General features: G+C 39.4%; 1 protein-coding gene and 1 long non-coding RNA gene across 6 annotated transcripts in view, besides 1 other annotated feature; one reads left to right on the top strand and one right to left on the bottom strand.

Moving 5' to 3' along the window:
* Nucleotides 1-26,590, top strand: part of ADCY8 (adenylate cyclase 8) — a 260,609-nt gene that overhangs the window by 128,406 nt on the left and 105,613 nt on the right. For 4 of the 5 annotated variants that reach the window (XM_017013006.2, XM_006716501.4, XM_005250769.4 and 1 more), the window contains exons 6-7: nucleotides 2,638-2,796; nucleotides 8,462-8,732. In XM_017013006.2, the coding sequence (XP_016868495.1) occupies nucleotides 2,638-2,796; nucleotides 8,462-8,732 (430 nt within the window). Of the gene's footprint in view, nucleotides 1-2,637; nucleotides 2,797-8,461; nucleotides 8,733-18,285; nucleotides 18,433-26,590 lie in introns of those variants that run through there. The other variant, XM_017013007.2, reaches the window with a different exon arrangement.
* On the bottom strand, nucleotides 5,525-26,561 carry LOC124902068 (uncharacterized). The gene is made up of 3 exons (XR_007061184.1): nucleotides 26,377-26,561; nucleotides 23,953-24,098; nucleotides 5,525-5,589 (listed from the first exon to the last, which is right to left on the bottom strand). It is a non-coding gene; the product is annotated as an uncharacterized LOC124902068 (long non-coding RNA).
* Nucleotides 7,570-8,769: an enhancer, noted in NCBI's record as "BRD4-independent group 4 enhancer chr8:131915981-131917180 (GRCh37/hg19 assembly coordinates)". NCBI's record gives its function as "activates an origin of replication core promoter dependent on BRD2, P300/CBP, MED14 and CDK7 cofactors, and independent of BRD4, by STARR-seq in HCT116 cells {active_cell/tissue: HCT116}" and the evidence as "EXISTENCE:reporter gene assay evidence [ECO:0000049][PMID:35650434]".

Genomic DNA, 26,590 nt, shown 5'->3' with positions numbered 1-26,590 from the left:
TCCTACTGTATGGAAAGCAGGATGCTCCAGGCTGTGAGGAATGTAAGGCTGCCTCAGGCAGGAATAATGCCTTCGAGGACCTTATACTCTTTACCAAAAAGCTTGGATATATATGAACATTAATAGAAAGTATTGGACACCCAGGCATCCACCCATCCACCTACTCAGTAAACACCTGCTAAGTGTTAACCACGTGCCAGATACAGTACAATCTTAAGAGGGGAACATACAGAGTAGTTGTTCAAAGTCCCCATTCTCAATTAGTTTACAGGAGACAGATTATTATAACACAGCACCCTAATTACTGTTCACCCAGGATGCAATGAGAACACAGGGAAGGGTACATAGTCAGACTTGGAAATCAGGGCAGCTTACTGGCCAGAGTTAAACCAAGCTTCACTCTAAAAGATGGAGTAGAAGCTCTTCCATTGAAAGAGGTAATGGACATTCCAGATTGAGGAAGCACCATGGTCCCAGAGAGGAAAGAAGGAACACAAGGTTCAGACAATGACTTGTTGTTTGGATGGCTGGAGTCTAATGTGTGCATGAGGAATGAGAAGAATAACTAAGGCACTGGACAGATCATGAGGAATTTTGTGTGCCAGACTAGGAATTTTCCATTGTATCTTATAGACCAGTAGTATCTAAATATTTTGATCCCCTATTTTTATTAATAAAATTATATGAAGATATGCATATCTAATAAAATTATATTTATTAACTATTCTATTAATTATATTTAATTATATTCATATGTTTAAAAATATATACCATAAAATATACATAATATAGGGATTTTAAAGGATAATGAGAAAATAAAAATACTTTAAAGTATTTTAATTTACAGTATCCAATTTAATTTAAATATTTTAATTTGATTACAAATTTAAAATTTAAAATTTTAAATTAATTACAATTTAATTTAGACTTTTCTGCTTTCACCATTTATTAGAGAGCAATGGGTTTAAACATAATTCTTTTTAAAAAAAATTTTTAATAGTTTGTGATATAGTAATGTAAAGGTCAGGTTTTAAGTTCAATTTATCTCTATACCAGGCTTCAGTGGCTATCAGAGCTAAACATATATCTTATAAATGTTTTCCAATCTCATAAATGGATTTAAGCCCTTATAAATGGGTTCTGACCTCATCAGAAATCTTCATTTAGAAGATATTTAAACATTAGTAAATGTGCAGCTCTAAGAATTTTGATAGATGATATAACATAACTTTGGTTTTACAACAAAATTCTTAAAAAGATGGAAACATTTCCAAACTTCCATTCTCAAAATGCTTTCTTCAGAGCATCAATTTCTTTAAAAATCAGTTACTTTCTTGCTCATTCTTAAGTCATCATCTTGAGTTGGAAGAAATAAATTAAGCAAGTTTGTGTGTTTTTTTCAAATATATGCTAGAAGGAATATTAATGGCGACTTATTATCACAAAAATATCAGCAAATTTGGAACACTTGTCTTCTGTCAAAGACAAATGAATAGCTCACTTTTAAGTCTGACAACTCTTTTAAGCATTTTGAAGTCACATAATCATTGCATTTGGGGGCAATGAAGGTTTTTCTAGTAATTCTACTACAAAGTATTATCTTCTACCATTTGATTTTCTGCATAAATGACATCATTTAATCATAAACTAAAATTGTTCAAAATACTCTGAAAGAAAGAACGCTCATGACTACAGGAAATCATCCAATGGTAGAAATTCTTCTGTCTTCTCAAGATGCCTCCTCCATACTTACAGTCAGAGGATGACCAGACATGTATCCCCTAAGTTTCCAATATCAATCTATATATCAAATGTTGGTAAAGCTTTTCAACATAAGTAACAAAAGCTGTGAATGGAAGTTCTAACATTTTCCTCCTGCATCTCAACGGATGACCCAGTTCAGCCCTGGGATGTAAACACTCTATTTCAGAGACCACAGCTCTAAGTAGTAGGTCAGAAAAGAGTGATGGGGTAATGAGGTCACATTTGTGTTTAGAAGGAGCAGCTGGAAACCATGACAGTATGGGCTGGAAGGAGGTAAGGCTGAGGCAGGGATCCCAGACTCAGGCATGATGGTGGTCTGAACTAAGTCACAGAAGGGCTAGAAAGAAGGAAACAGTTGACATTTTGGTTGGAAATGGAATGTGTAATGAAGTATGAAATCAATAATCTATCTCAGGTTAATGTTGGGTAGAAAAAGATGCTGGTGCCATTCCCTAAGACAGAGGTTACAGAGCAGGTTTTGGAGGAAGGTTTCAAAGAGCCCTTAAAAGTACAGATAAAAGGCTAAGGATGTTCAGAGACTCTTTCTAGTTATTAAAGAACCTAAGAAGGCTTCATGGAAGGGGTGACATTGAAAGTGAAGAGGTGGACGGGCGTGGTGGCTCACACCTGTAATCCCAGCACTTTGCAAGGCCGAGGCGGGAGGATCACGAGGTCAGGAGATCGAGACCATCAAGGCTGAGGCAGGAGAATAGCGTGAACCCGGGAGGCAGAGGTTGCAGCTCCATTGCACTCCAGCCTGGGCGACAGAGCAAAACTCCGTCTCAAAAAAAAAAAAAAAGAAAAGAAAGTGCAGAGCCAACGATGCCCACTCTGGTCTTATACATGTGTCTCTCCATTTACCTATGTCAACAGGTATGTGCGGTCAAGGACAAAACACGATGTTGACATGAGGATTGGAATCCACTCCGGCTCGGTGCTGTGCGGTGTTTTGGGACTAAGGAAGTGGCAGTTTGATGTCTGGTCTTGGGATGTGGATATTGCAAACAAACTCGAATCTGGAGGAATCCCTGGGTAAGATAAAGCAAAGCCCTTTTCATGCTTAACGGTTGTCATTGGCTTATTTTGTGACAGTGGGTTTCCTGTGTACAGAAATTCAGGGTTAGATCTAGGAAGCAATTATTTGGAAGGAGACCAGACACTGAAACATCATACAACTATTAGCTTCCAAAATCTAGTAAAATGCATCAGAGGCAACAAGGATGTGGAATAACACTGAGGTGTTCGGGTCTCTGCCCTGCACAGCATTGGTCCTTAGACTTGGCTGCACATTCGAATCTCCAAAGGAACATTTAAAAAATACTAGTGTCCAGACCCCATGCCAGTTTATTTAAAGCAGAATCTGTGCAGAATCTATTTTAAGTTCTTCAGTGAATTGTAATGGGCAGCCAGGATTAAGACCTACTGACTTTCCATGCATGATCTAGGACTCAGTGAGGAAATCAGGCTCTTCCTTAGAAACTCAACATTTCAAATTTGGCTGTCAAGGTTGGTTGACATAGGATCCCCAAAGGTGCTAGTGGTCTGCAAAGGCCACTGCAACTAATGTAAGTCTTGAAAAGTTGTATCAAGATTCTGTTTACACAGATTGGACCTAATAAGATCTCAGATATATGTGAGCCAGTGTGATTTTCTGCAGCCTCTCTTTCTTAAAGATGATGGATGGATGGATGGATGGATGGTGGATGGATGGATGGATGGAGATAGAGAAAGAGAGAGAGAGAGAGAGAGAGAGAGCACTTCCACATATTCCTTTTCCTACCCCCTAGAACTGCCCTTGGAGTCACAGATTTCTCTGGTATGTGCCATCACTCCTTGCAAACTATGTTTAATATCAAGTAATATGTTATCATGGGGGAAACAGACAACAAGAGGTGGAATCAGAGTAACTAGGATTCCCACTCTGCCCCTTGCTAAACTCTATTATCTTCAGCAAGTTATGTAAAGCATGCACAGCACCTGGCGTGTGATTTTAGTGTGAACTTGGCTTGCATCACTCTACCTGTGTGATCTCAGGCCAGTGCTTAACTTCTGAGTCCAACTTTCTTCACTGCAGGAAGAGAGATAATACTACTTATGATTTGCTACCTTGTGAACTTATTTTCCTCCTCCATGAGAGTTTGTTCTCTCATCTGCTATAATGGCATAATCCACCTCACAGGTCTCCTCTGAAGATTATCTCAGGCAATGGGTATGAAGCGCTTTTTTTTGTACACTGTGCAGGGACACCCCAGGTCAGTTACTATTCTTATGGGGATCCTTCACTCTATGTGGTGTGTCATGGCTGTTTGCCAGACAGGTTTAGAATTGAGGAAGGTCTGATGTGTCACTGCTGGGTTTCTTAAATCTTTCCATTCTTTAGGATTTTCCCACAAGTAACTACCTGCTGAATTTAGACAAACAAGTTAGCCAATTCATCTGTGTTTCCAGGCCTGTATCTTAAAAGCATCACCAAATGGGGAATTGCCCATATACTCAATAGATTCCTTTTGCAAACCTTAGAGGATGCTTTGGGGGTTTGTAAGATACTGCTTTGATATCTGGAAGCCAGTTTAGCTATTGTTCTCAATAACATTAAGAAACAGAAGAGTGACCAAGTTTAAATCAGCACATCACCATGCAATACTACAAAGCCATAAAAAGGAATGACATCATGTCCTTTGCAGCAACATGGATGCAGCTGAAAGAAATTATCTTAATTTAAATAATGCAGAAACAGAAAACCCAACACCACATGTTCTCACTTCTAAGTGGGAGCTAAACATTGAGTACATATGGACATAAAGACGAGAATAGACACTGGGGCCTGCTAGAGGGAGAAGGGAGAGAGTGGGACAAGGGACGAGAAACTACCTGTTGGGTAGTATGTTCACTACCTGTGTGAGGGTTCCTTCTTACCCCGAACCTCAGCATCATACAATATGCTTTGTAACAAAGCTGCACATATACCACCTGATTCTAAAATAAAAGTTGAAAAAGGAAAGAAACGAATAAAATAATTTGTAAAAAGAAACAGAAAAGTGACTGAGTTTAAATCATCTTTCACACCCTTATTTTTCATATCATGAGTCATGAGTCTGAACCGTGGGTTTACTACTTACCAGTTATGAAGTCTGGAAGATTGTGGCAAGTACTTCATGCCCTTCCCAGTTTCTTCACTGTAATTTTGGACTGAAAACATTATCCGCCTTAAAAATGTAGTTTCAAATATGATAGTGCTTATAAAGCACGTAGTCTAGTCTTCTATTCAGTATCCATCTCTGCTTAGCCATGGCATGTTGTCAATGTGCAAAATGCAGGAATGTCAAAACGGGACCCCAGACTCACCATGGTTTGATATTGTTATATATTTTTCCACTTTTTTATTGTCTTCTTCTTTAACACCACTGAGCCTTGGGTTTCTAGAAGAACGGTTCTCAAACCTCAGCCTTGGAATTACCCGAGAGTTTATTAAACCATAGCTTGCTGGGCCCCACTGCCGAGTTTCTGGTTCAGTATGTCTGGCATGGAACTCAAGATGATGCTTTCTACCAGTTCCTGGTAGGAACTGCTGGCCTTAGTACCACACCATGAAGATCACCATTTTTGAACTTGTGTTAAATGAAATAATGCATATAAAGTCCTTTGTCCTGTACTCAGTAAATATTTATTGTGGTTGTGCTGGTAGTAGTTACCATATAATACAGTTCCAGGGTGGTAGAGAGACGCTGAAAGTAAAAGTTCTTGTCTCAATCCAGCACTGCCACTAACCACTAATATGATTTGGGGCCAAATATGTACTTGTTACTTCTGGGCCAGTTTCAGCATCTGCAAAAGGAGACAAAGAAATGTCTAATACCTAAGGTTGTTGAAAGAACGGAAATTATATGAGATAATCCATGGGGCACACAGTAACACCTTTGGCTACTAGATAACATTTATGCAAAACAAGAGTTACACAATTGTTAGGTCTTAATTTAGTATCATGACTACTTTTATTATATCCTAGCATTAAAATTTATCAGAAAATGCCAAGTTTACTTGACTCATTTCCTTAGAAAGAAATGCCTGAAAACTGACACATTTCCTTAGAAAGAAATGCAATCTTCAGAATCTCATCTGCAAATGTCTTACCCCAAAGCTCAAGTTAGTAACAAGGATGAAAAGAAACATCTAAAACCCAGTTTCTACCAAAACATTTAAGTGCATATTGATTAGCACTTCAGCAGAAGAATCAGTGAAGGCAAGGATCTCTTTCACTAGTGAAAACATAATATTGATTTAATACATGGAAGTATTTGTCCCCTTGCATACTGACAGCAGAATAATAAAAATAGAATCCAGAGAAATGCTAAAAGGGGTTGATATGTAACTTAATTATCTTAAAAGAAAATCAACCATGGTACTTTAGAAAACCCTCCTACCAGGTTCATTTTGTCTAGGAGAAAAGGTAAGCTTCCAGTCTTAACTCAGATTCATCTGAGAAAGCGGATGGGGACTTCCATTTCATGGAAGGTCAAACGATCTGTTATTCTCCCAGGTCAATATTATTGAGTTCATATGTATTAACAAAATGCATCTTGGGAATATTTTGTATTTATTCAGCACATTTCTCAAGAGAGTGAAAACATCTTTCACACATTTATTTTTAACATCTTGCACTTGAAATCAATCAAGATATTTATGTGGAAGATGTGGAGAACATGAAGTATCAGAAATGATTTGTTTGTAGTTTCTGGTTTTTCACATGTTCTTTGCAATGAACTATTCTTTCTGTAAGGAGGGATTTAGCAGAATGGGTTAGAAGGATGAGAGGGAGTAGCAGAGCTAATACTAAAAGTAAACTGCATTTTATTTAATTAATGAATTTATTTATTTTTTCTAAGACAGGGTCTCACTTTGTCCTCCAGAATGAAGTGCAGTGGCATGATCTCGGCTCACTATAGCTTCAACTGTCTGGGCTCAAGCGATCTTCCCACCTCAGCCTCTCAAGTAGCTGGGACTACAGGCATGCACCACCACGCCCAGCTAACTTTTGTATTTTTTTGTAGAGATGGTGTTTTGTCATGTTGCCCAGGCTGGTCTCAAACTCCTGAGCTCCAGCAATTCACCAGTCTCGGCTTCCTCAGCATGAGCCACTACAGTGCATTTTTAAAAGCCACTCTAAATTTTTTTTAAAAACTTTTCTGTTTACTTGGATATATTGTTCTTAGCATTCCAAAAGCCAATCAAAATATTAAGCATTCTTTCATTCAAATGAACACTAAAGTAAACTTAGGAAGATGACTTTTGAGCAGAATTGGACAGTAGGAAATTGTTAGTAAGCACCAAATAGTACGTTGAATCTGGAGAATTGCCAATTACTTGAATAGCTGGAGAGAGCATAGGAGAGCTATATTAGAGGAGTGTCAGAAAATGAGCTTTGAAGTGACAGAGCCAGAGAATGAAAGCTTGGAGGCCTTATTCAGAAGGCCTGACAATAGTCTTCTGCAAGCCTTGAGAAGGCATGGAATACACAACAGTAATATGATGACAATGGCATTTTTTAGAATACTCTTAATAACTTACATATTTGCTTTTATAGTGTATATGTTGTACCATGCACTGTTTTGACTACCTTACACAAATCAACTCGTAGAATAATCACAATAATAGTCAGAGATAGGTGTTATTATGTTTCCCATATTATGGGTAAGAAAATGGACTGATAGAAAGGCTAAGTAATTTGCCCAAGATCTCTCAGCTGGCAAGTGGCAGAGCTACGGTTTGAATCTAGGAGATCTAGCAATGAAGTCCATGTTTGTAACCACCTTACCTTGCTAGTCTACCCAGACCACACTATAACGCAATAAGTAGTATGATTGAGTTAGACAGTTACGAGGACAGAAAAACTCTTCCCCAGAAGAATTTACCATGTGAAATTTCCATGAATCAAGTTTGATCCTCAAGGCCCTGATGTCATATGTTATTTTGCTAAAAAAGAAGCCTGAGTCATGAGCCACAGTGGCTGACAATTGTGCAGCCATGAGTCACTTCACTTGTGAGTGAGCCCAGCCAGCTGCCAGCCTGCACATGTCCACAGCTTTGTTCTTTGCTCCTTATAATATACATGTTATAGGGGAAATTGTACCCTACAGTGGTTTTCCCAAAGGACCCTCAGTGCAGCCCTATGGACTTATCAGAATCACCCTTGAGAAGAATATAGACAAGTTGGAGAAACAAGTTACAAATACATGAAGATTGAAATGATAGGACAGGTTCCAAGACGAAGAAAGAACTGTTTTTGCATGGTGATTTGGATAATGATTGCCACTGGGGTTCAGAAACATTTGCAGCACTTGTTTTTCCAATATAATCAACACGACTGAAAAAAAAAATCACTGTTTTGTAAAGTTTGCTGGGATCAGGCTGACAATCATAAGAAAAGCCAAAAGATGTGCTTAGGTGTGGCTCAGAAGGGCTGTATTTTATCAGAGGCAGCAGTGTCTCTTGGGACGATGTCCGTGATACTGTGCTCATGAATTTATGCTTCTATTTTCTTTTATTCTTTCTACTTTTTAGGAAGACAAGTATTGTCCCTGAGGACATGTCCTAATAATACCCTTGTGTAACCCTGGTGTTGGTTTTGTACAGGTCAAAAAAATATAGCCTTTGCAGGCAACATCAGGAGTGTGTAATGACCTATGCCTTCTACACACAGGAGGATTCACATTTCCAAAGCCACGCTGGACTGTCTCAACGGTGACTATAACGTGGAAGAGGGCCATGGTAAAGAGAGGAATGAATTCCTGAGGAAGCATAATATCGAAACTTACTTAATTAAGCAGCCTGAGGACAGTCTGCTGTCCTTGCCTGAAGATATCGTCAAGGAGTCAGTGAGCTCCTCAGACCGGAGAAACAGTGGGGCCACATTCACTGAAGGATCCTGGAGCCCTGAACTGCCCTTTGATAATATCGTGGGGAAACAGAATGTAAGTCCTCTCTTCCTCCTTCTGCTTGGCCATGAATGCATGCTCGTGTGCATCTCCAATCCAGACACCTCAGAGAAAACTGATTCATCTTTAACCTTTTCTCCAATGAACACCATAATTGCAAATGATCAAACTATCTCTCTGTCTCCTCAGGACAGAATTAACCTCGTATGCAATTTCAGGAAATGCCAGAAATGCCAGAGGGTTCCTAACACCCTCTCTCTCTCTCTTTTTTTTTTTTTGTAACCTAGCTAAAAATAAATATTATGTGAAGCTGAATTGTAATTTTACCAAAAAAAAAAAAAAACCACTCATGTTGGAAAAAATAAACCCTCTGTTATTAAACTAAAGGGGAGGATCAAGTACATGGGAATGCCCCTTTTTCGGTAGCTGGCCATCATCAGTTCTGTGTCACCCTCTGAGATTCAAAATCAGGGGGGCACTGCAGATTTGGAAATAGGAAAGGAGCACCAAGTGATGCCTAGAGTTAGGGAGTTCAGGAGGAGCATGCAATTTCAAAGCCACCCACATGATTCTATTTTTATATAGCATGGATTTGCATCTTCTATGAAGGACAGGGCTACTAAGTCAGTACATAAGGAGTAGATCACCAATAACCAAAATTCTTTTTAAATTATTTATTCAAATATTGAAATCACAGTAAACCCAATGAGATGCTCAGACTCCAAGAGGCACTTAGAGAACTGAGGCTGAGCCAGGTCGAGAACCAAGGTGGACACAGAGATTCTGTTCTCCCAGAATGCTTGCTTGGAGCCATGGCAAAATTACCTGCTCTAATATGGATTTTCCCTTTAACCTCTTAGACACAGCACATTTAGTTGAATTCACATAAGTTCAATGATGTGACTGTACTATACATTTTTAGAGAAAGAAATAAAAATAGCCAATATATAACACTTATCTGACAGTTATCTGACAGTTTCTGATAAGATCCTCGACCAAGCAGAAGCTGAGAGTACCATGAAGTACCCAGCCAATAGTGTCTGGAGTTTTATGAAGACATATAAGGGTTAATTTTTAAATTCCATAGACCTCAACATTTCTCATTAACTTATAGATAAGAAAAATCTGTCTGCCTAAAAAAATTTTAAATGGAAAGGTTAAAATGCTGAAAGTCTCCCCTCTTTTTTCTGCATTTGAAAGTTTGATGGGGCACTCTGAGACTAGGCTGTCTTTGGTTTCTTTCTGGATCTGTGGGGGAAAAACTATGAGAAAATGCATGGGCCAGATTCCACTGGGAAAAGCTGCAGGTTGAACCTAGGCTGCATGCCTTGCAAGAGTTGACCCTTAGGTCTTCGACAGCTCTTTTGTGAGTGTTTAATTTCCCCCAAAAATTATTATGCACACAAAAGTCATAACTGATTGCAATGCCTAGGTTCTTTCCATCTCTGAGTTGGTGTGCATGGTACAGTTTGCTGTTTTATAAAATAATGGTGTTATATACTTCCTGGAGTGGGTGCATGACCAGCTGACAGTGCCCTCTCTGCTGCTTTTGCCTATTGTTAGCTTGGGTCTGTATGCTGATTATTTAAAGAGAAAGAAATGCATGCCTCATCCTGAATACCTCAGCATAAAGTTCTCTCTCTCAGTTTTAGTTTTTGTTTTGTCTTTATTTTTGAAAAATCTCTCTCCAGTTATGCTGATTGTAGGAATTAAGATAATTCCTTAATGTTCTAATCTGTATTGTACATGAACTTGCTACTAATAACTGAGAGCCAAGAAGAGGGAGGTGGAGGTTCTTGGTTTTATTCTATAGTTGATTGATGTGGTTAAACTGTATAGGAATGCTTGAAATATTTATTTGCTGATTTCCTAAAGATATTTCCTGATGTCACCAAATACCTATTATAAGAGATGTCATTATTAGCTAGAGATTGTTAGTGTTGTTTAACCATACCGTGTATTTTTTTAATGCCCAAGTTTTGCCTGGATGTAACCCATCTGTGCCATCTTTAGCACGAAAAATCTGAATTCATTTTGATGCCTTCAGACTGAAGAGCAAGTGAATGTGTGCTGATATTCATGAATAACCGCGTGCCACCAATAATATTTTGGAAATTACTGAGCCAATTAAAACCGTCACAAGTATTCAATGTTTGTACTTATGCCTAACTCTAGAAGTCAGTGAGCCATATGTGCAATTCAGAGACATAATTTGTCCCTGGAAGAGATCAAGACTGGTCTGGCTGAGCCTATGCTTTGCCAAAACACCCAGTCAATTCCACGGAAGCCCCGACCATCTGAGTGTTTGCATAACACAGATAAAGCATGCTAATGCTTCACTGGGGGTATTCCAGCTAAATTGGCCAGATGTTTTGGCTTCTATTCATTCATAATATGTGCTTAGAAATATGTTTAATGGCATCAAATTGCTGTGTCATATTCTGTGCTATGTAGATAGCAGATGTTCAGATAGTTACATCCTCATGTATTCATTCATTCAATAAGGATTAATTGAGCATCTATTACAAGCCAACTACTGCTAGTAAAAAAAAAAAAAAAAAAAAAGAGGAGGGATGGGGAAAAAAAATCACTTTAGAGACAAAGTCAGCCAGTGGTTTATATTCTTAATGAAGATAGAAATTATATCCGTTTCACTTACCACAATTTAGCCCACAATTAGAACAATACCTGGCAAATCACAGGGCTTGATTAAAGTTTGTTGAATAAGTGAATTAAATGATAGATATGGGTAGTGAGGGAGAGGAATCAGTCAAGTTTGAATTCTAGATTTTTTGCTTGGAACTGCGTCGATGATAGAACTTCCAACTAAAATAAGCAGTACTGGAATAGGAGATTGTGTGAGGAAGACTAGGAATTCTCTTTGGGACATGTGGAGCTTGAAGTGTCTGGGAAAAATCCAGGGAGAGTGATCACACATTTCTGAAACTCAGGCATAAAAGAACTGTGCAAGGGATGTGAATTTGGTATTCATAGTCACGAGAATTTTGGTGTTAGTAGAAGACATGGCAGTGAAAGAGATCACTGTTGAGAATCTGTAAAATTAAGGAACAAGAAGACACAAGCAGACCTTGAGGAGCACAAGTTGGAAGGTGAAAGATTCGTATTCCTTGGCAGAGACAGAGAAGAAACAGTCAAAGTTGTCAGAAGAGAACTAGGGAATGTGGTGTCACAGAAGCCTAGAGTATGGCATTTTAAGAAGGAAGGGGCCATCAGCAAAGTCAAATGGAGACAAGAGGCCCAGGAAGATGAAGACTGATAGCTGCCTATTGGAACTGGATTGAAGGACATCATTGGCAAGAGGCAGATCTGGTGAGATGGTAGAGTCAGAAGCCAGGTCATCATAATTGGTAAGAGGTGGCTCTGGGTTTCCAAGAACTCCAGTTCCACCCCTGTTCCCTTCCCTCTACCCATTTCAGTAGTTTGTAAATGGCTTGGAGGAGCAATGAAAATCACTAATAATTATCTGTGGCCCCTTATGTGAGTCTTCCAGTTTCTGTCTGCCTGACCATACTCCCTTGGTTTTGATGCTGTGTCTTGTCTGCCCCTGTATCTGTATCCATTTGGGTTAAAATTGTTGGTTTGACCCCATTCTGGTATCCAAGTTTTGCTCTTGGACATCCTGAACACCCATGCCCTTTTATATCCCTGGCCCTTGACAAGTGCAGATGTTCTGCCTCTTAATTTGATGCCTTGGTTTCCTGAACCCTGACTCAGATCCCAGTGAGACTCCCCATGCCTTGAGTTTCCAGGTGAAATGAAAGTAAGGAAACTAGAAGGCAAGAAGTTTATGATCACAGGTGGACTATTGGAACTTAAGATTTAAAAAGTAGAAGGAGATGATTGAAGTAGATCAAAAGTGAAAAATTTCACATATGGGGGAGAATATCCAGGAAGTTCAAGGCTAGATTATTAAATGAGTTATCAACATGGACATTGAATCTCTCAGTTGAAAGACAACATTGCAAATGAAAGGAAGATAAGAACAGGATCCTTATCATAAAGGTTATATTTTCCTTTTCTGCTGCATGCTCTGAGTAAAATCTATATCTGGGCTTGAGCTATTGTTCATTCTGTTATTTAACAGATACTCAAGTGTACTACATACTGAGGATCCAGTAATGAATGAATCCTGTCCTCCAGGAGCTTATGTTTCTTTTCTTTTCTCCTTTTTTTTTTTTATTGAGATGGAATTTCACTCTGTCGCCCAGGCTGGAGTGCAATGGCACGATCTCGGCTCACTGCAACCTCCGCCTCCCGGGTTCCAGCGATTCTTCCAACTCAGCCTCTTAAGTAGCTGAGATTACCGGCGCGTGCCAGCACCCTTGGCTAATTTTTGTATTTTTAGTAGAGATGGGATTTCACCATGTTGGCCAGGCTGGTCACGAACTCCTGACCTCAAATGATGCACTCGCCTCAGACTCCCAAAGTTCTGGGATTACAGGCTTGAGCCACTGCACCCAGCCCAGGAGCTTACATTTCAAAGGAGTGAGGAATGCAGACAATTAATCAAAACATATAAGTGTAATGAAGGAAATAGAGAGATATGACCAGGGAGTATATAGCATACAGAAGGCATTGTCAGAGAAAGTCTCTCTAAAGATTTAATATGAGTGCTAAAAGGACTCTCATGCAAATAAGCAGGAAAAGAGCATTCTAAACAGAGGAAAAGCAGTGCAGACACCCTGAGGTAGAAAGGAGTTTAGTGTGTTAGAACAGCAAAAAGTCCCAAGTGGCTAGAGCATAGTGAGCAGGGAAAAGGAGTAACAGATGGAGCTGAAGGGGCTGGGACCTCCGTCCTGCAAGCTTTGTTGATGTATTTTATTCCAGAAGTGATAGAAAGGGTAAAAGCGGGGCAGTGATGTGATCTCAATTAGATTTTTAAGGGATCACTTTGGCTGCCTGTGAAGAATGGACTGTCGGGACAAGAGTAGACTTAGCAGAAAAAAGATCCGTCTTAGACTTCAGATTTTCAAGAAGATACCAAAGGTTTTTATGTAGCTATAAAAATGTATTGTGTGTAGGATATTAATCATTTTAACTGGATTTTTATGACAAGTGATATGCCAAGAGAACTGAGGCTACTCTTTGAGAAGCAAGGCCCCTTTTCAGAGCCTGGAATTTGTTTCCGTATGTTGTGGAATCATCTTCATCCCATCCATCCCTTTCACATTTATTACAGCCTGAGAATCCAGGCATGTTTCTGTTACTCCGCTAGGCCTTTTGAAAGAGTCATATGGAGAAAAGTACACAACTGGTACCTCCACTGTATGTTTTAGTCATTTCTATGCAATAGACTGATTTGAGGCATTTTTGTTATCTTGAAATTAATGTGTTTACCATGAGGATTATAAACACAGATGGAATTTCTATCTCCATGTAACAAATGGAGAGCAAACACACTTCATTGCCTGGAATATAGATAAACATCCACAAGGTCACCAACACTGACAGGAGTAGAGAGCTTCGGGACAGGTAGCATGTCGGGAGTGGTGTGCCCATGTTTTTCCACCTAATTCTCACACCAACCTTACAGGGTAAGTGTGATGTGCCTACTTCACAAATGGGAAAATTGGGATTCAGAGAGAATTGATTAATTCCCTGAAGGACACATAGCTGGTAAATAACAGAGATGGAATTAGAGCCCCATATATCTGACTCAAAAAGCCCCATGCTTTCCATCAGTTCACACTGCTTCCATCTTTGTGGCCTGAAGATATATGCTGGGTGTCATCTTCTACCTTGTTTTCAGGTCATCTGTCAGTCTCAGAAGGTGAGTGAGTATTTATGTGTGTTGTGTGTGTAGTGTGTGTGAATATGTGTGTGGTGTGGTGTGGTGTGTGTTATGTGTATTTGTACATGGTGTGTATATGTGTAGTGTGCATGTATATGTGTGTACGGTATGTATGTGGTGTATGTGTGTGGTGTTTATATGTGTATTATGTATGTTTGCTGTGTATGTGGTGTGATATATGTATATATGTGTGGTATGGTGTGTGTGAGATGTGTGTATATATGGATGTATGTGTGGTATGTATGTATATGTTGCATGTGTTGTATGTGTGTGATGTGTGTATGTGCATATGATGTGAGGTGTGTATGTGTGTGTACATGTATTCACCCTCTCATATATGTGGGTCACTTGCTCACCACGGCTATTTAGAAATTTTAAATGAAAACATCAGGAAATGACCAGATTCTGCTCCAGCTAAATTTTGGAAATCCTACCCAACCAAGAAGGATCTCATTGCCTGAGTGTCCTCGCATGATGATTGTTTGCCTGGAACAAGGCAACACTAGGCAGCCTCTCACATGTGCCTAGTAGTAAAAACAAACAAACAACAATTTGATTTAGTCCCACTTGAGTTGGCAAATGTTGATACCAGAAGAAAAGGAAATGTGAAGTCAGTGGGGGCTGGCTGGGCTGGTGAACATGGTCAAAGAATATATTTAGGTTACTATATCTTCACCAATTCCAGCTGGGACTTTTCTTAGATCTTGTTCTCTGTATTTATTAGAAGAAAAGGAAGAATTCTCATCTGATTGCCGTCCTGATTGAAACCTCCTTGTGGATCCAATGCTGAGCCTCAGGCTCCTCAGAGTGAACTGGTTAATTCTGTAGACTGTGAGTCTTGTGATCTTTGAGTAAATCTCTGCAGGAATTGAAATTTGCACATATGATAGTGGAAGGGCCTGAATAGAAACTAAGCAGAACTGAGTTGGAGTCAGATTTGTCCAGTTGCTACTAAGAGACCTTGGGCAACCACTTCTCCCCTCCAAGGCTCGGTGTCCTCATTTGAACAATAGCAAAACTGGACTGGATGATCCAACAATTCCTTTCAGCTCTGACATTGCCCTATTCAGTTTCCCTACCTCAGACACAGGCTCCAAGACTGTGGCCATACTGGTGAGCCACATACACTTCAGAATTCTACCATCCATAAATAATTTACCAGGAAGCCATGGGGACATCCACTGTTTACAGTTATCTTACTGTAGGGTAACAGCTACACTTATCCTGGTGAACCGTCTTAAAACATGAATACCAAATTCAGCAACAGGAGTTAAAGAAAAAAAAATTAAAAAGTATTTGAGGTAAAATCTTACCTAACTAGGGAATGAGATTTACCCTTTTCTCTAAGCATAACTTATGATTTTATGTAGATAAACACCCAAACATCATTACAGACATCATCACACTTTGCCTGCTTTCAAGGTCCTGTTTTCACCATGGTCATTATGTTCTCTTATTGAGTGATATTGTTCCCTGGGATTTGATTTCTTTCCTTCTTCTTTCTGCCCCTAAAGGGTGGATTCAAACTAAGGGGCAAGCCTCTTTTTTGTGAATATGAAGGCGTGCAAAAAAATGCATTCTTTAAATTCAAACTCATCTTACTTTTATCATTCAGCTTAAGAAAGGCAATCCTATCAAGATGCTTATTTGTTCATTCATTCATTCAGCCATGCATTTATCAACAGCTTACTGAGAAACTACAATTTGCCAGTAAAGTTCTAGGATCTGGGGATAGAGACGAAGGTGGGGCAAGCACTCCGGAGCTTAGTTTGATGGTGCTACTAAGAGGTCAGCAGGCTCACTGTGAACATTGTTACAATTATGGCAGGACAGAGTAGTAGAGTAGTAGATGAGGGAAAATTGATCTGAGTTAATCAGGAAATACCTTAAGCTGAGATCTACAGGCAAGCAGGAATTAAGCCAAGAATGAGGGAACAAGACCTTAGAATGGGAGAAAAAGCAAGTCCACCATCTCAGCCTGAGTTTCTTTGCTCAAGACCAAAGCACAGATTTCTCTTTCCCTACAGGGAATTCTGACCTGAAATTCCTCCCCCTAAAAACACCTGAAATATTGAATCTTGATCTTTAGAAAGGTGTGTTTTCAGAGGTAACTGCTTCTGTGATAAGTTACAGGACATCTAATTGTCCATATTCAATATAAATATGCAGAGAATCACAGGCATATTTTTCCCCACAGGTAATTTTTTTAACCATTTTAACATCAGATTAAGTTTTGATGCTTATTAGATAAGACATCTGCAGACTTAGGGTCAAGAACATGGAAATCTTTGGAAATTTTCCTGAAGTCAAGCTGCATTCTTCCAGTAACATGGCTTTTTCTGACAATAAAACTCCCCAGGCTGTCCTGAGCTCTGAATCTGAGGATAGCTGCTGAGTTCAGCCAGGGAGAATCATTAGTGGGGTCTGCTTTTTCACTCTGTTTCAAAAGACAAGTGGATTTGAAGGCTTCCAGAGAACATTGAATGGATTAAGTAGGCAATTGGATCCATTTGCTTTGACTCATCATCCTTCCTTTCTCTGAAGTTCCTGGGGTAGACTAAGGAAGAAGAGATAAAGGTAGAGATAGGACTGAGGCTTATGTATAACCACAGACATGAAAAATACACATTTAGGTTGTCAAGCATACATCATGCAGCCACGGTTACTCCCATGGCTGATAACCTGCTAAAACTTTTCTACACAAACGAATTGGACTCTTCTTTTATGAGATATTGAGTCATTGTTTGGGGAGTCATAAAACTGAGGGCTGACAAACAAGACCCAATAAACGTATAGCACTTTAAATATGTCAAGGTGGAAATGTATGATATTTTAAATATGAGAAGATAGGTAGGAAGAGTAAAAGCAAAAATCTGGATTCTTTTCCCCTGACTTATTTCCTCAATTTGAAAACAAAGAAGTGGGATTTATTTTCTATCATTCTTGGTGTTCACTTTGCCAAGGACTGGGCTCAGATCCTTCAGTGTAAAATCTCTTCATTGAGCTACACCAGGATTGCTCTCATCTCTTTGCCACCAAGTATAACTTTTATTGTTTGACACAGCGCAGTTCATATCGAGGAAGGTTTTTCTTTCCAAGCAAAATTGCATTTGATGTGAGTGAATTTTTATTCCCATTTTTCAAGTAATTTTATATGTGCCCTGACCCACCAGTTTTCCTGCTCTACACAAACACAAGGGTCTTCCCATTCTAAGGTGACTGAATTCTAGCCAGAGAAAAGATAACGGATATTTTTGTTGGCCTGAACAGCCACGGTACTTATATATGTACTTCTTTTTACTTCCCCTTGTGTCAAAAGAGACTTACAGTGGCTTATCTTCAGTAAGCATACAGTATGGATGGAAGTTTTTGCAAGGTCCTCTTCTATCTCAAGGATTCCCAAACTACTGTTGTGAATTTCAGGTTATGCACCACTAGATTTGGCAGTGTCTCTTCCCACTGTGTGACTTTTATGTTACCTTTAGTCCCCTAAAGAATCATGTCACACTGTGAGATAGTAAGGACTTTGGATACATTGTATGAAGTATCACCCACTCTGGACTTCATGTCTGGGGAAAACTTAAACACAGGACCACTGATAAGGGATAAGCCTGGAAATAAACACGCGGGATAATAAAAAACCAGAAAAGCTAAACCAATTACACCATTCTTATAGAAATGTGTGTGTTGGGAAAGTTAGGGTAAAAGGAAGTAGCAGGCACAACCCCAAAGAGGTAGCAATGTAGCTCTAACATAGACCGTTTCTTCTTTTCCCAGTTTTGCCCTGACACAACTGGTGAAAAGTAAGAGATGCTGGATTCTTGAAGGTCAGTAATTTGTTGCTCCATTGGAATTAAATTAAGGAAAGCATCAATAACTACATGTGATTAGTAAATTGTATAAGAGTGGTCTGAAAAAACTCATACTGAGAAATTTAAAACACCAAACATGAGCAATTTATCAGCAACCCAAGATGTGTAAGTTTTTCATCTGCCTAAATTAAAAGTTACTTCTGAACCTTCAAAGCTAAACATTTAAATAATTCTATTTCAATTTTCTCAAAATTTCTATTAAGAAAACACAACCACAACCACACACACAAACATGCACACCCGCAAACACACACATAAACATGCACACCCCAAAACACACAAACATGCACACCCACAAACACACACACGCATAAACATGCACACACACAAACATGCACACCCACAAACACACACACATAAACATGCACACACACATAAACTTGCACACCCACAAACACACACATAAACATGCACACACACACATATAAACATGCACACACACACACACACACACACACACACACACCTTCTTCTCCCCATGGTATTGACACCTCTAAAAAATCCACATCTTTGATGTTCACAAGAAAATGGAGTAACTTAGGTCTGGATATATGTTTGTTTATTCATTTCCTGAGCTAAAATTCTCCAGGTTGCCAACCCAAGGTCATTCAGTCAATGGGATAGTGGTCATCTCACCAACTACAGCCAATGACATTTCAACCCAGCTAATTCAGTGCTAGGAGATATTTCAATTCACACCTACCCTGTGGCCCTATGAACAAACCACCAATGTTTCAGTTTCTCTCTCCCCTACTTGTGAGTCCCATGTGAATCCTGGCAGAAATCTTGCCTCCATTCCTAGATCGTACCTTATCCCAGCACTTACACCATCCCTAATCTCGAGATGAAGTCCGTGCTGGAGTTTGCATATCTGTTCCACACATTACTACGGATGTGATACTTAAAAAGCTAAAAATTCAATTCAATTGACAATTTGCCTCAAATCATGTGGCGTCAAAGTGGTCGGATCTAAATGAGTGTGCCAAGTTCTGTTTCCGCCAATTCTGCAGAAGTTTAACAACATTTTTTGATTTTATAAAAATGACCCAAGTGTGTAATGTCTCAGACATAATCACATTTCCCAAACTGAGATGAGAATCTTCTTTTTAAGGAGCTCAAAGAATAATATCAGAGGCAAGCATCTAGGATTAGCTAATAGATTGGTGGAATAGAGTCAGGCAAGCTTCTCAGGCAGGAGGGAATCATTGTCAGACCCCACTTGACCCAAGTTAACCTGGCTGGATTCCTTAGGCCAGCTCTAAGGGACAAAATCTAGAATGTTGGTAATTCCCTCTGTGAGGTCTCAGTCTTCTTATCCTGAGAACTCTGCCCAATCACGGGGAATTGTGGTTGAACCTGGAGAGAAGCCACAGCGGACCACTTGCCCACATCACATCTCAAGAGAACCAGGAGAGTACATCTGTGTCTAAAGCCATGACCCAGGAGTAGGTTGAACTGAAGCAAGAGGTGAGGCATTTAATGCCAGGCAAAGCACACCAGGAAGACAGCCCAGGATTGTGCTTGGATATCCTGGGACCTAAACCCCCAAATGATTAAACTGTTTTCATGCTCCAGTTTACCAATATTAGTTGAAAGGCCAAGAGTGAGGTTGTGGGGTTCCAATGAGTAGCAAATGAGTAAGTGCCTAGTGTGGTATCAGCCAGAGTCGGGGCACCTGCCTTGTCATTGTTTTATTTTCTTCATCATAGACTGAAATTTCAGGACACCAAGGAACAAAAGTCAATCAAAGGATGTCACAGATCCCTTCATCCCTATCAAAGTTAGCATCCAGACAATAGTCGGAAACTTCCAATTCTGCCTAAAGATGGGAAGCAACGATTTCCCAAATGACCTGAGCCCCAGACTGACATTGTTTACTCATAACTGGGAAACCAGACAACAGAGGGGTGCTGAAATCCTACAGTAGGCTTATAGAAATGTCTAGGCTATTATTGCAACAGAATGGACATTCTGACCCCTGTTATATCGTTTCCTGGGGCAGAAGCTATGAGACTATTATGAAAATTATTTAAACCGCTTTCCATAGCAGAATCCCACAGACCTTCTCCCACAATAAGATCTCGTTAAACATTCATTTGCTTTTCTTGGAAAACAGATTACAGTGACATAAATATTCAAAAAATAAAAGGAAAAGTAAGCATGATTTCTAACTAAAAAAGCATCAAACAGATCATTTGGCTGTACTGTTTCATTTTCTCTTAGTATAGACAAGAAAAGTTGCAACAATCTTAACTAAGATACCTTGCTTATGGGAAATGGTCCTATTCACTAGCACCTCCACTCCCATAAGAAGGAAAACTTGTTATAAGACAGGGTCTTGGAGATCTCATGTGGATATTTTATCAAGGGCTCCCCAAGTCAATGTTTACTCAAATACCACTTAGCATTTTCTTACTAGGAAAATATTTCATCTCATATCTCCCCATTCCCAGATTTGAGGGAAAAAAATTGTGCCATTTTCAAACATAACAAGCATTCTCCTCCCTGAGGTCCTCAATGCAAACCATTGTAGACTAGATCACCTTGAAGCTTTCCCAAGGTATGAGCTTTCTTAAGAAGAATAAATGATAAGTATTTAAGATGATGGGTATATTAACTAGGTTAATCTAATCATTGTACAACATATTCGTATATCATATCACAATGTACCACATAATTGTATATTATTATAATCTGTCAAAAAAAGAACACAAAATGACTCTTTTTAAAGTAGAAGCCTTCTCTTCCAGGGGTTGGGTTGGCATTTTAACAAACAGTAGAGAAAGAATCGCTGTAATGTGCACTGTTGAGGTACTCTTACTTAGGCTCACTGTTTTTCCTGTGTCTTGTAGGACATAGGAAGTTCATAAGAACTGAAAGGTGGAACCTCTGCCTTTTCCACAACCCAAAGGCTGCAGGCATCAAGTTTAAAATAGAGGTACAGAGGCTTCCAAGTTAGGCACAGAAACATGCTGCCACAGGGGTAATGGAAGCGTGCTCCCAGAATAGGTTGGGGAAACTACTGGCCCTACCTACTTCTGAATGAAGATTCCAGCCTGAAACTGAAAATAAGCAGAGTCTTTGGGAAAGGTTAGGACATCTCAGCATGAAAGACAGAAGCTGCACAGCTGTGCCTTGAGATTGCTGAGCCTGGCGTTCTCGCTAGGTCTTTTCCATATCAGCAATGAGTTGGCCCACACTGTGAGACCTCAGTCACAACTACTATAGCTAAATCTAAAGACTACCACATCTGCCTTGTCCAGGAGCTAATAAAGAATAAAGTGCTTTCACTAGTGACCTTAACCTCCTTCCACAACTGGCTCATGGAGAACACACAAACTGAAGTTAGCCCAGGTGCTGGTCCCAGAAAAGGCTCAAGGTTACCCCTTGCCAGCCTGTGGTCTCTGGTGCTCTAGCAGCCAGCACTGGGAAGTAGTAATGGGAGTGACATTCTCTGGATCCCAAAAGTCTGAATAAAACCTCACATTGACAAGCGTCACTAGGCTGCCTTTAAAGGCCCTTGCTCTTGGCTGGAATATTAACTGCATTGGTAGTGCCTTTTATCTCATGCTGAGAAAAACTAGGCATTTGATCAAATAGCAGGAAAATAAACTACTTCTTATTTAATACAGTTTGGTAAACAGAATCTTTCCAAAATTTGAAGTCCATTTGGGAGAGAACAGAAAAAAACTAAAGGGACTTTTGCAGTGAAAGACCAGAAACACTGCCCTAGGGACAATCTTCTTATTTTTTTATTTTTAGTTTTATGTTTTATTATACTTTAAGTTTTAGGGTACATGTGCACAACGTGCAGGTTAGTTACATATGTATACATGTGCCATGTTGGTGTGCTGCACCCATTAACTCGTCATTTACATTAGGTATATCTCCAAATGCTATCCCTCCCCACTCCCCTGACCCCACAACAGGCCCCGGTGTGTGATGTTCCCCACCCTGTGTCCATGTGTTCGACAATCTTCTTATAAAGGCACTTGACCTTTCGTCTATCCACTCATCCATTCCTTCCTTTCATATACACTTATTATGAACCTAGCAGATATACCAGGTGCCGGAGACTCAGTTATAGATAAAACACAGTGCCTGGCCTCAAGGAGATCATAGTCTAGAGAAACAATCACCTAATTAGGCAATTACAATGAATCATAGTAATGGTGATAAGGACAATTGCAGCCTCAGAGTAGGCTTACTGGAGGAGGTGATGTCTTATTTGTTTTTTATAGTAGCAGTAGGATACATGCCTAGATGCTACATGTTTCAATGCATAAAATGAGTAATTACTTAATAGGTCAGATTATGTTAGGTGTCCATGTTCCACCACAAGGTCAGATGCCACGTGCACTGGGTCTGATACTCTGTGAAGTAGTGCCCACAAGGCAAGGACAAACTAAGAAGAATTATGCAATATGTAGAAACTATATCACCTATGGAACAACTGGGGAAATACATTTCATGTGCCTGGTGAAGAAAGCTAAGGACACTGGAAAGCAGCCACATGAAGGGAGATGGATGTAGATCTTGTTCAGAAATCGGAAACAGGTCTAGTGTGTGGAAATTCTGAATAAAAGCAGGGAAGAACTTTAAAGCACTGTTTCCCAAATAGCATTCCATGAAACATATAGAGGCAATTCAAGAAAAGGGGGATTTGTGGTCAAAAAAGTTTGGAAGATGCAGAGTTTAAAAGTCTTATTTCTGTGGAACTTATCAGTGCCTTTATCTCAATAAAGTGTATTGAGATAGGAAGATATAAGAAATTTTTCATTCAGTAAACACATTTATTGTGGTTACAAAGTACTTAAGTGACTACAAAGTATCAGGCATTGTCATAGGCCCTGGGGACAAAGACATGAACAAAAGAGACAAAATTAAGGTAAGGAGAAATGGCAGTAAACAAATAATGGATCTACATTTTCTAAACTGATTGGTCCACAGAACCACTTTGTAATGAAACATCTCATCATTCTTGTGCTTCTTGAAACACATTTTTGAGAAAGAGTGAATTAGGAGGATCTAACAACGAAATAGATCACTCCAGTGCTGTAACTATGTAAGCTGATTTGCAGTGTCTGTAAGGATGCTTTAAAGGGTCTTTTGAGATTTGAGCGTATGATCCCTAAGACCTGAAATGGTTTTGACTCAACAAAACTGGATGTTTCTAGACAGTACACCTTCAGCCTGCAGTCTTGCTGGGAAGAATTATTTGCTGTGACAAACTGATTAATGAATACCAAATTTTATGACAATCCATGAAGTGATAGGATCTGCAAGAAAAGTAGGATTTTACTGGGAACACAGATAAAAGACAAGTCCTAAAGAAGAGTCTTCTGATCATAAACCAAATGATGAGCTTAAGAGGATTTGTGACTTCCCCCAGCCCATTCAAATGCAATTTACAAAGGGCTACCTGACCCTCTCATTATAATTTTCACCAGAACCCCCAAACTGTCAAGCAAGATCCTATCATCAGAGACTCAGTTCAGAAGGAACTCTGGTTCTCATTTGCACTTTGATCTATCTCAAGCACCTGTGAGGGAGGAAACATTTATGGAAATACCTGAGGAGAGCACGAATCTCCATTAGGATAAATCTAGGGAATTCAACATCATTTTGGGAAAAAACTCAGTCATGAGAGGCCATCTCAGCTGCAAACTCTGCCATTTCTGCTGCTCCAACTGACTTCCCAAATACCTAAAACACCAGCTAAAGTAAATGAATAGCATTATTTATTTATAACATCATTTATAACATTATTACATTGCTGCTTCAATCTGACATCCCAAATATCAAAAACACCAGCTAAGTATACACATATACATATATTATATATAAATACAATGTATACTTCAATCATACATTGAAGCATACGTTCAAATATATGTATTCTATTATATATATATTATATTATAGTCAAGTATTATGGCATTTTCCATTTTATTCCATTTTGTCCATTTGTTTTTCCTATTCTTTAGCCAATTGTTTAGAGTGTTTATGTGAAAGAACCGTCTCAACATTTTGGAGGTCCATTTAATACTGGAATCACATTTGGAAGCTTATGCTATTTTTAAACATGATCTCAGTCTAGCTCGCACTGGTGCTGTAAGTCTTAAAAAGAGAAAGCCCTATTCTATTAAAAATAGCTCATTCCAGTATGACTCTAATGACTCTAAATAGACAAATAAGACAAGTTATACCTGTCTCCACTACTGATTACAAATGAATCACTGTGAATATAGTGAATATATCAGTGTATGGATTTTTTATGTTGGTAACATTATCCCACTGAAGGTGACATCTTAGTGGTCATTACTAATGACTAATGAGATAGAGGGGTATCACAGATAATCCCAAATCATAGTCACCCCCAAAGACATGTAGCCTTTGCAGTGTACTGAGGGTTAAATGAAAGCAGATGATTTCCTGATGTCCCTCTCTAGTTTCAATTTGCTTGCCTTCTTGAGTTAATGATGGTCTTCCCTTAAGCACATATACTCCTAAGGAGTAAGGTAGGTGCTAGAGAGGTTGCTGGCCAAACAGCATTTGTAATTGTCATATGTAATTGACAGAGGAAATAATCAGAAAAAACATCACTGAAAATTGACTACCTGCATAAAATGCTAGGAAAACACTTGCAAAGAATAAAAATAACTACATGGGCAAGAAAAGAATTCTCCACCACATTATTGACATTTTGATGAAAGGAGCTCCTTCCCAACTATTACCTATAACTTGGTGGTGGTGATGAAAGAAAGAAGAATGCCTCTAAATTTCTCTCTCATTTGAAGCAACCACATAGACAGCCAATAGAATGTGGAGAGGAGCAGGGGAGTTTCGAAAGGAGGAGATTTCATTGGTCTGTATCCTACAGAAGTGGCCAATGGCAGCAGAATCCTTCTCTGAATGGACGGCTGAATACAGCACAGGCAACCAGGAAGCAATGTCTATTCCTAATTTCCAAATGTCCTCTACATACCAGTATCAATTCCTGCTAACATTTTCACCAGTTCACATTAATATGAGAAAAATAAGGACAAAGTAGATAGTTATTTATTAAATTAAATGTATTCAATGTAAAGGACTGTCTTTTATTCTGAGACTACATCATTCCTGTTAAGGAAAAAAAAAACGCCCTTTCTTCTATTACATAATGGTCATATTAAAGAGCTGTGGTTGCTACTGCTGCTGCTGCTACTGAAATTTAAAGAAATCAATCCCCAAACTATTTTTTGAAACTTCTCTCCTCTGTGAAATCCAAAAGTCTTAGAGTCACTGAAGGCACAAGGGACTGGTAGAGTGGATAAGCTCAATTTAGTTAATAGAAGGAAAACCATATACAAATAAAAATATCAGACAGTGAGAGATGCCTAACTATGAATGTGCTCAGATGTTGTAGCAGATTTCCTCTCCAGCTGTTAGACCCCAGCTCCAAGCACTTACGAGGGCACCCTGGCATCCCAAGGTCAGAATGTATGGTCAGACGAGGACAGCTGGACTGTCATTTCCATCTCTTCTCCAAGACGGAAAATGGAGTTTTATCACTTTCCATGCCATATGAAAAAAATTTCTGACCAAAAAACCAATGAGAAATCCACCAAGTGGCTGACAGTTCAGCTTCCTTTGCTCTCTGGGATGCTGCACTAATAGCATTTAATTCCAGGGACTAAACTCTCTGGCCCCGCATGTATCCTGCTTTTCAATTCTCCAGAACATTGGTTCTGGCCTCCTTGTCTCTGCTCCAGCCCTTCTCCTAACATGCCACCCCCTAACATCTATTTTTTTCTCTATAGTAGTCTCTTTGGTACTCAGAGCTGAAATTACATGCTTCAGTGCCCTAAGAGCATGTACTTTGCTTTCTCATGTTGGCACAGGCAGCTCTATTCTTTATTCTAGGGCTGGAGAAGAGGGTTTCAGTAAAGTCTAGCCGTGATGAGCCTTGCTATAGAATGCTTTAGAAGCTTTGAATTTATGTTACATTGATTACCTTCATGAAGGTTAAAATGAAGGGTTCAATAACACCATAGGGAGAATCCTTATGGGGTGGGCTGGATGGCTTCACAGAGGTCAAAGCTCCTGACTCCAGCTGTGGTCCTGGAGTCAGCAGATCTGGCTTGGCGGCAAATGAGCAAGTCTCTCTGAGGCTCATCGATATCTGAAGGTTTGGCAAGAGGATCTGCAAGGTCCTATGTCACCTCTCA

The sequence above is a fragment of the Homo sapiens genome, chromosome 8 (genome assembly GCF_000001405.40).
Source record: "Homo sapiens chromosome 8, GRCh38.p14 Primary Assembly".
Lineage (NCBI taxonomy): Eukaryota > Metazoa > Chordata > Mammalia > Primates > Hominidae > Homo > Homo sapiens.
Note: the sequence above shows the minus strand (reverse complement) of the source record. Positions and strands in the feature narration are given on the sequence as shown.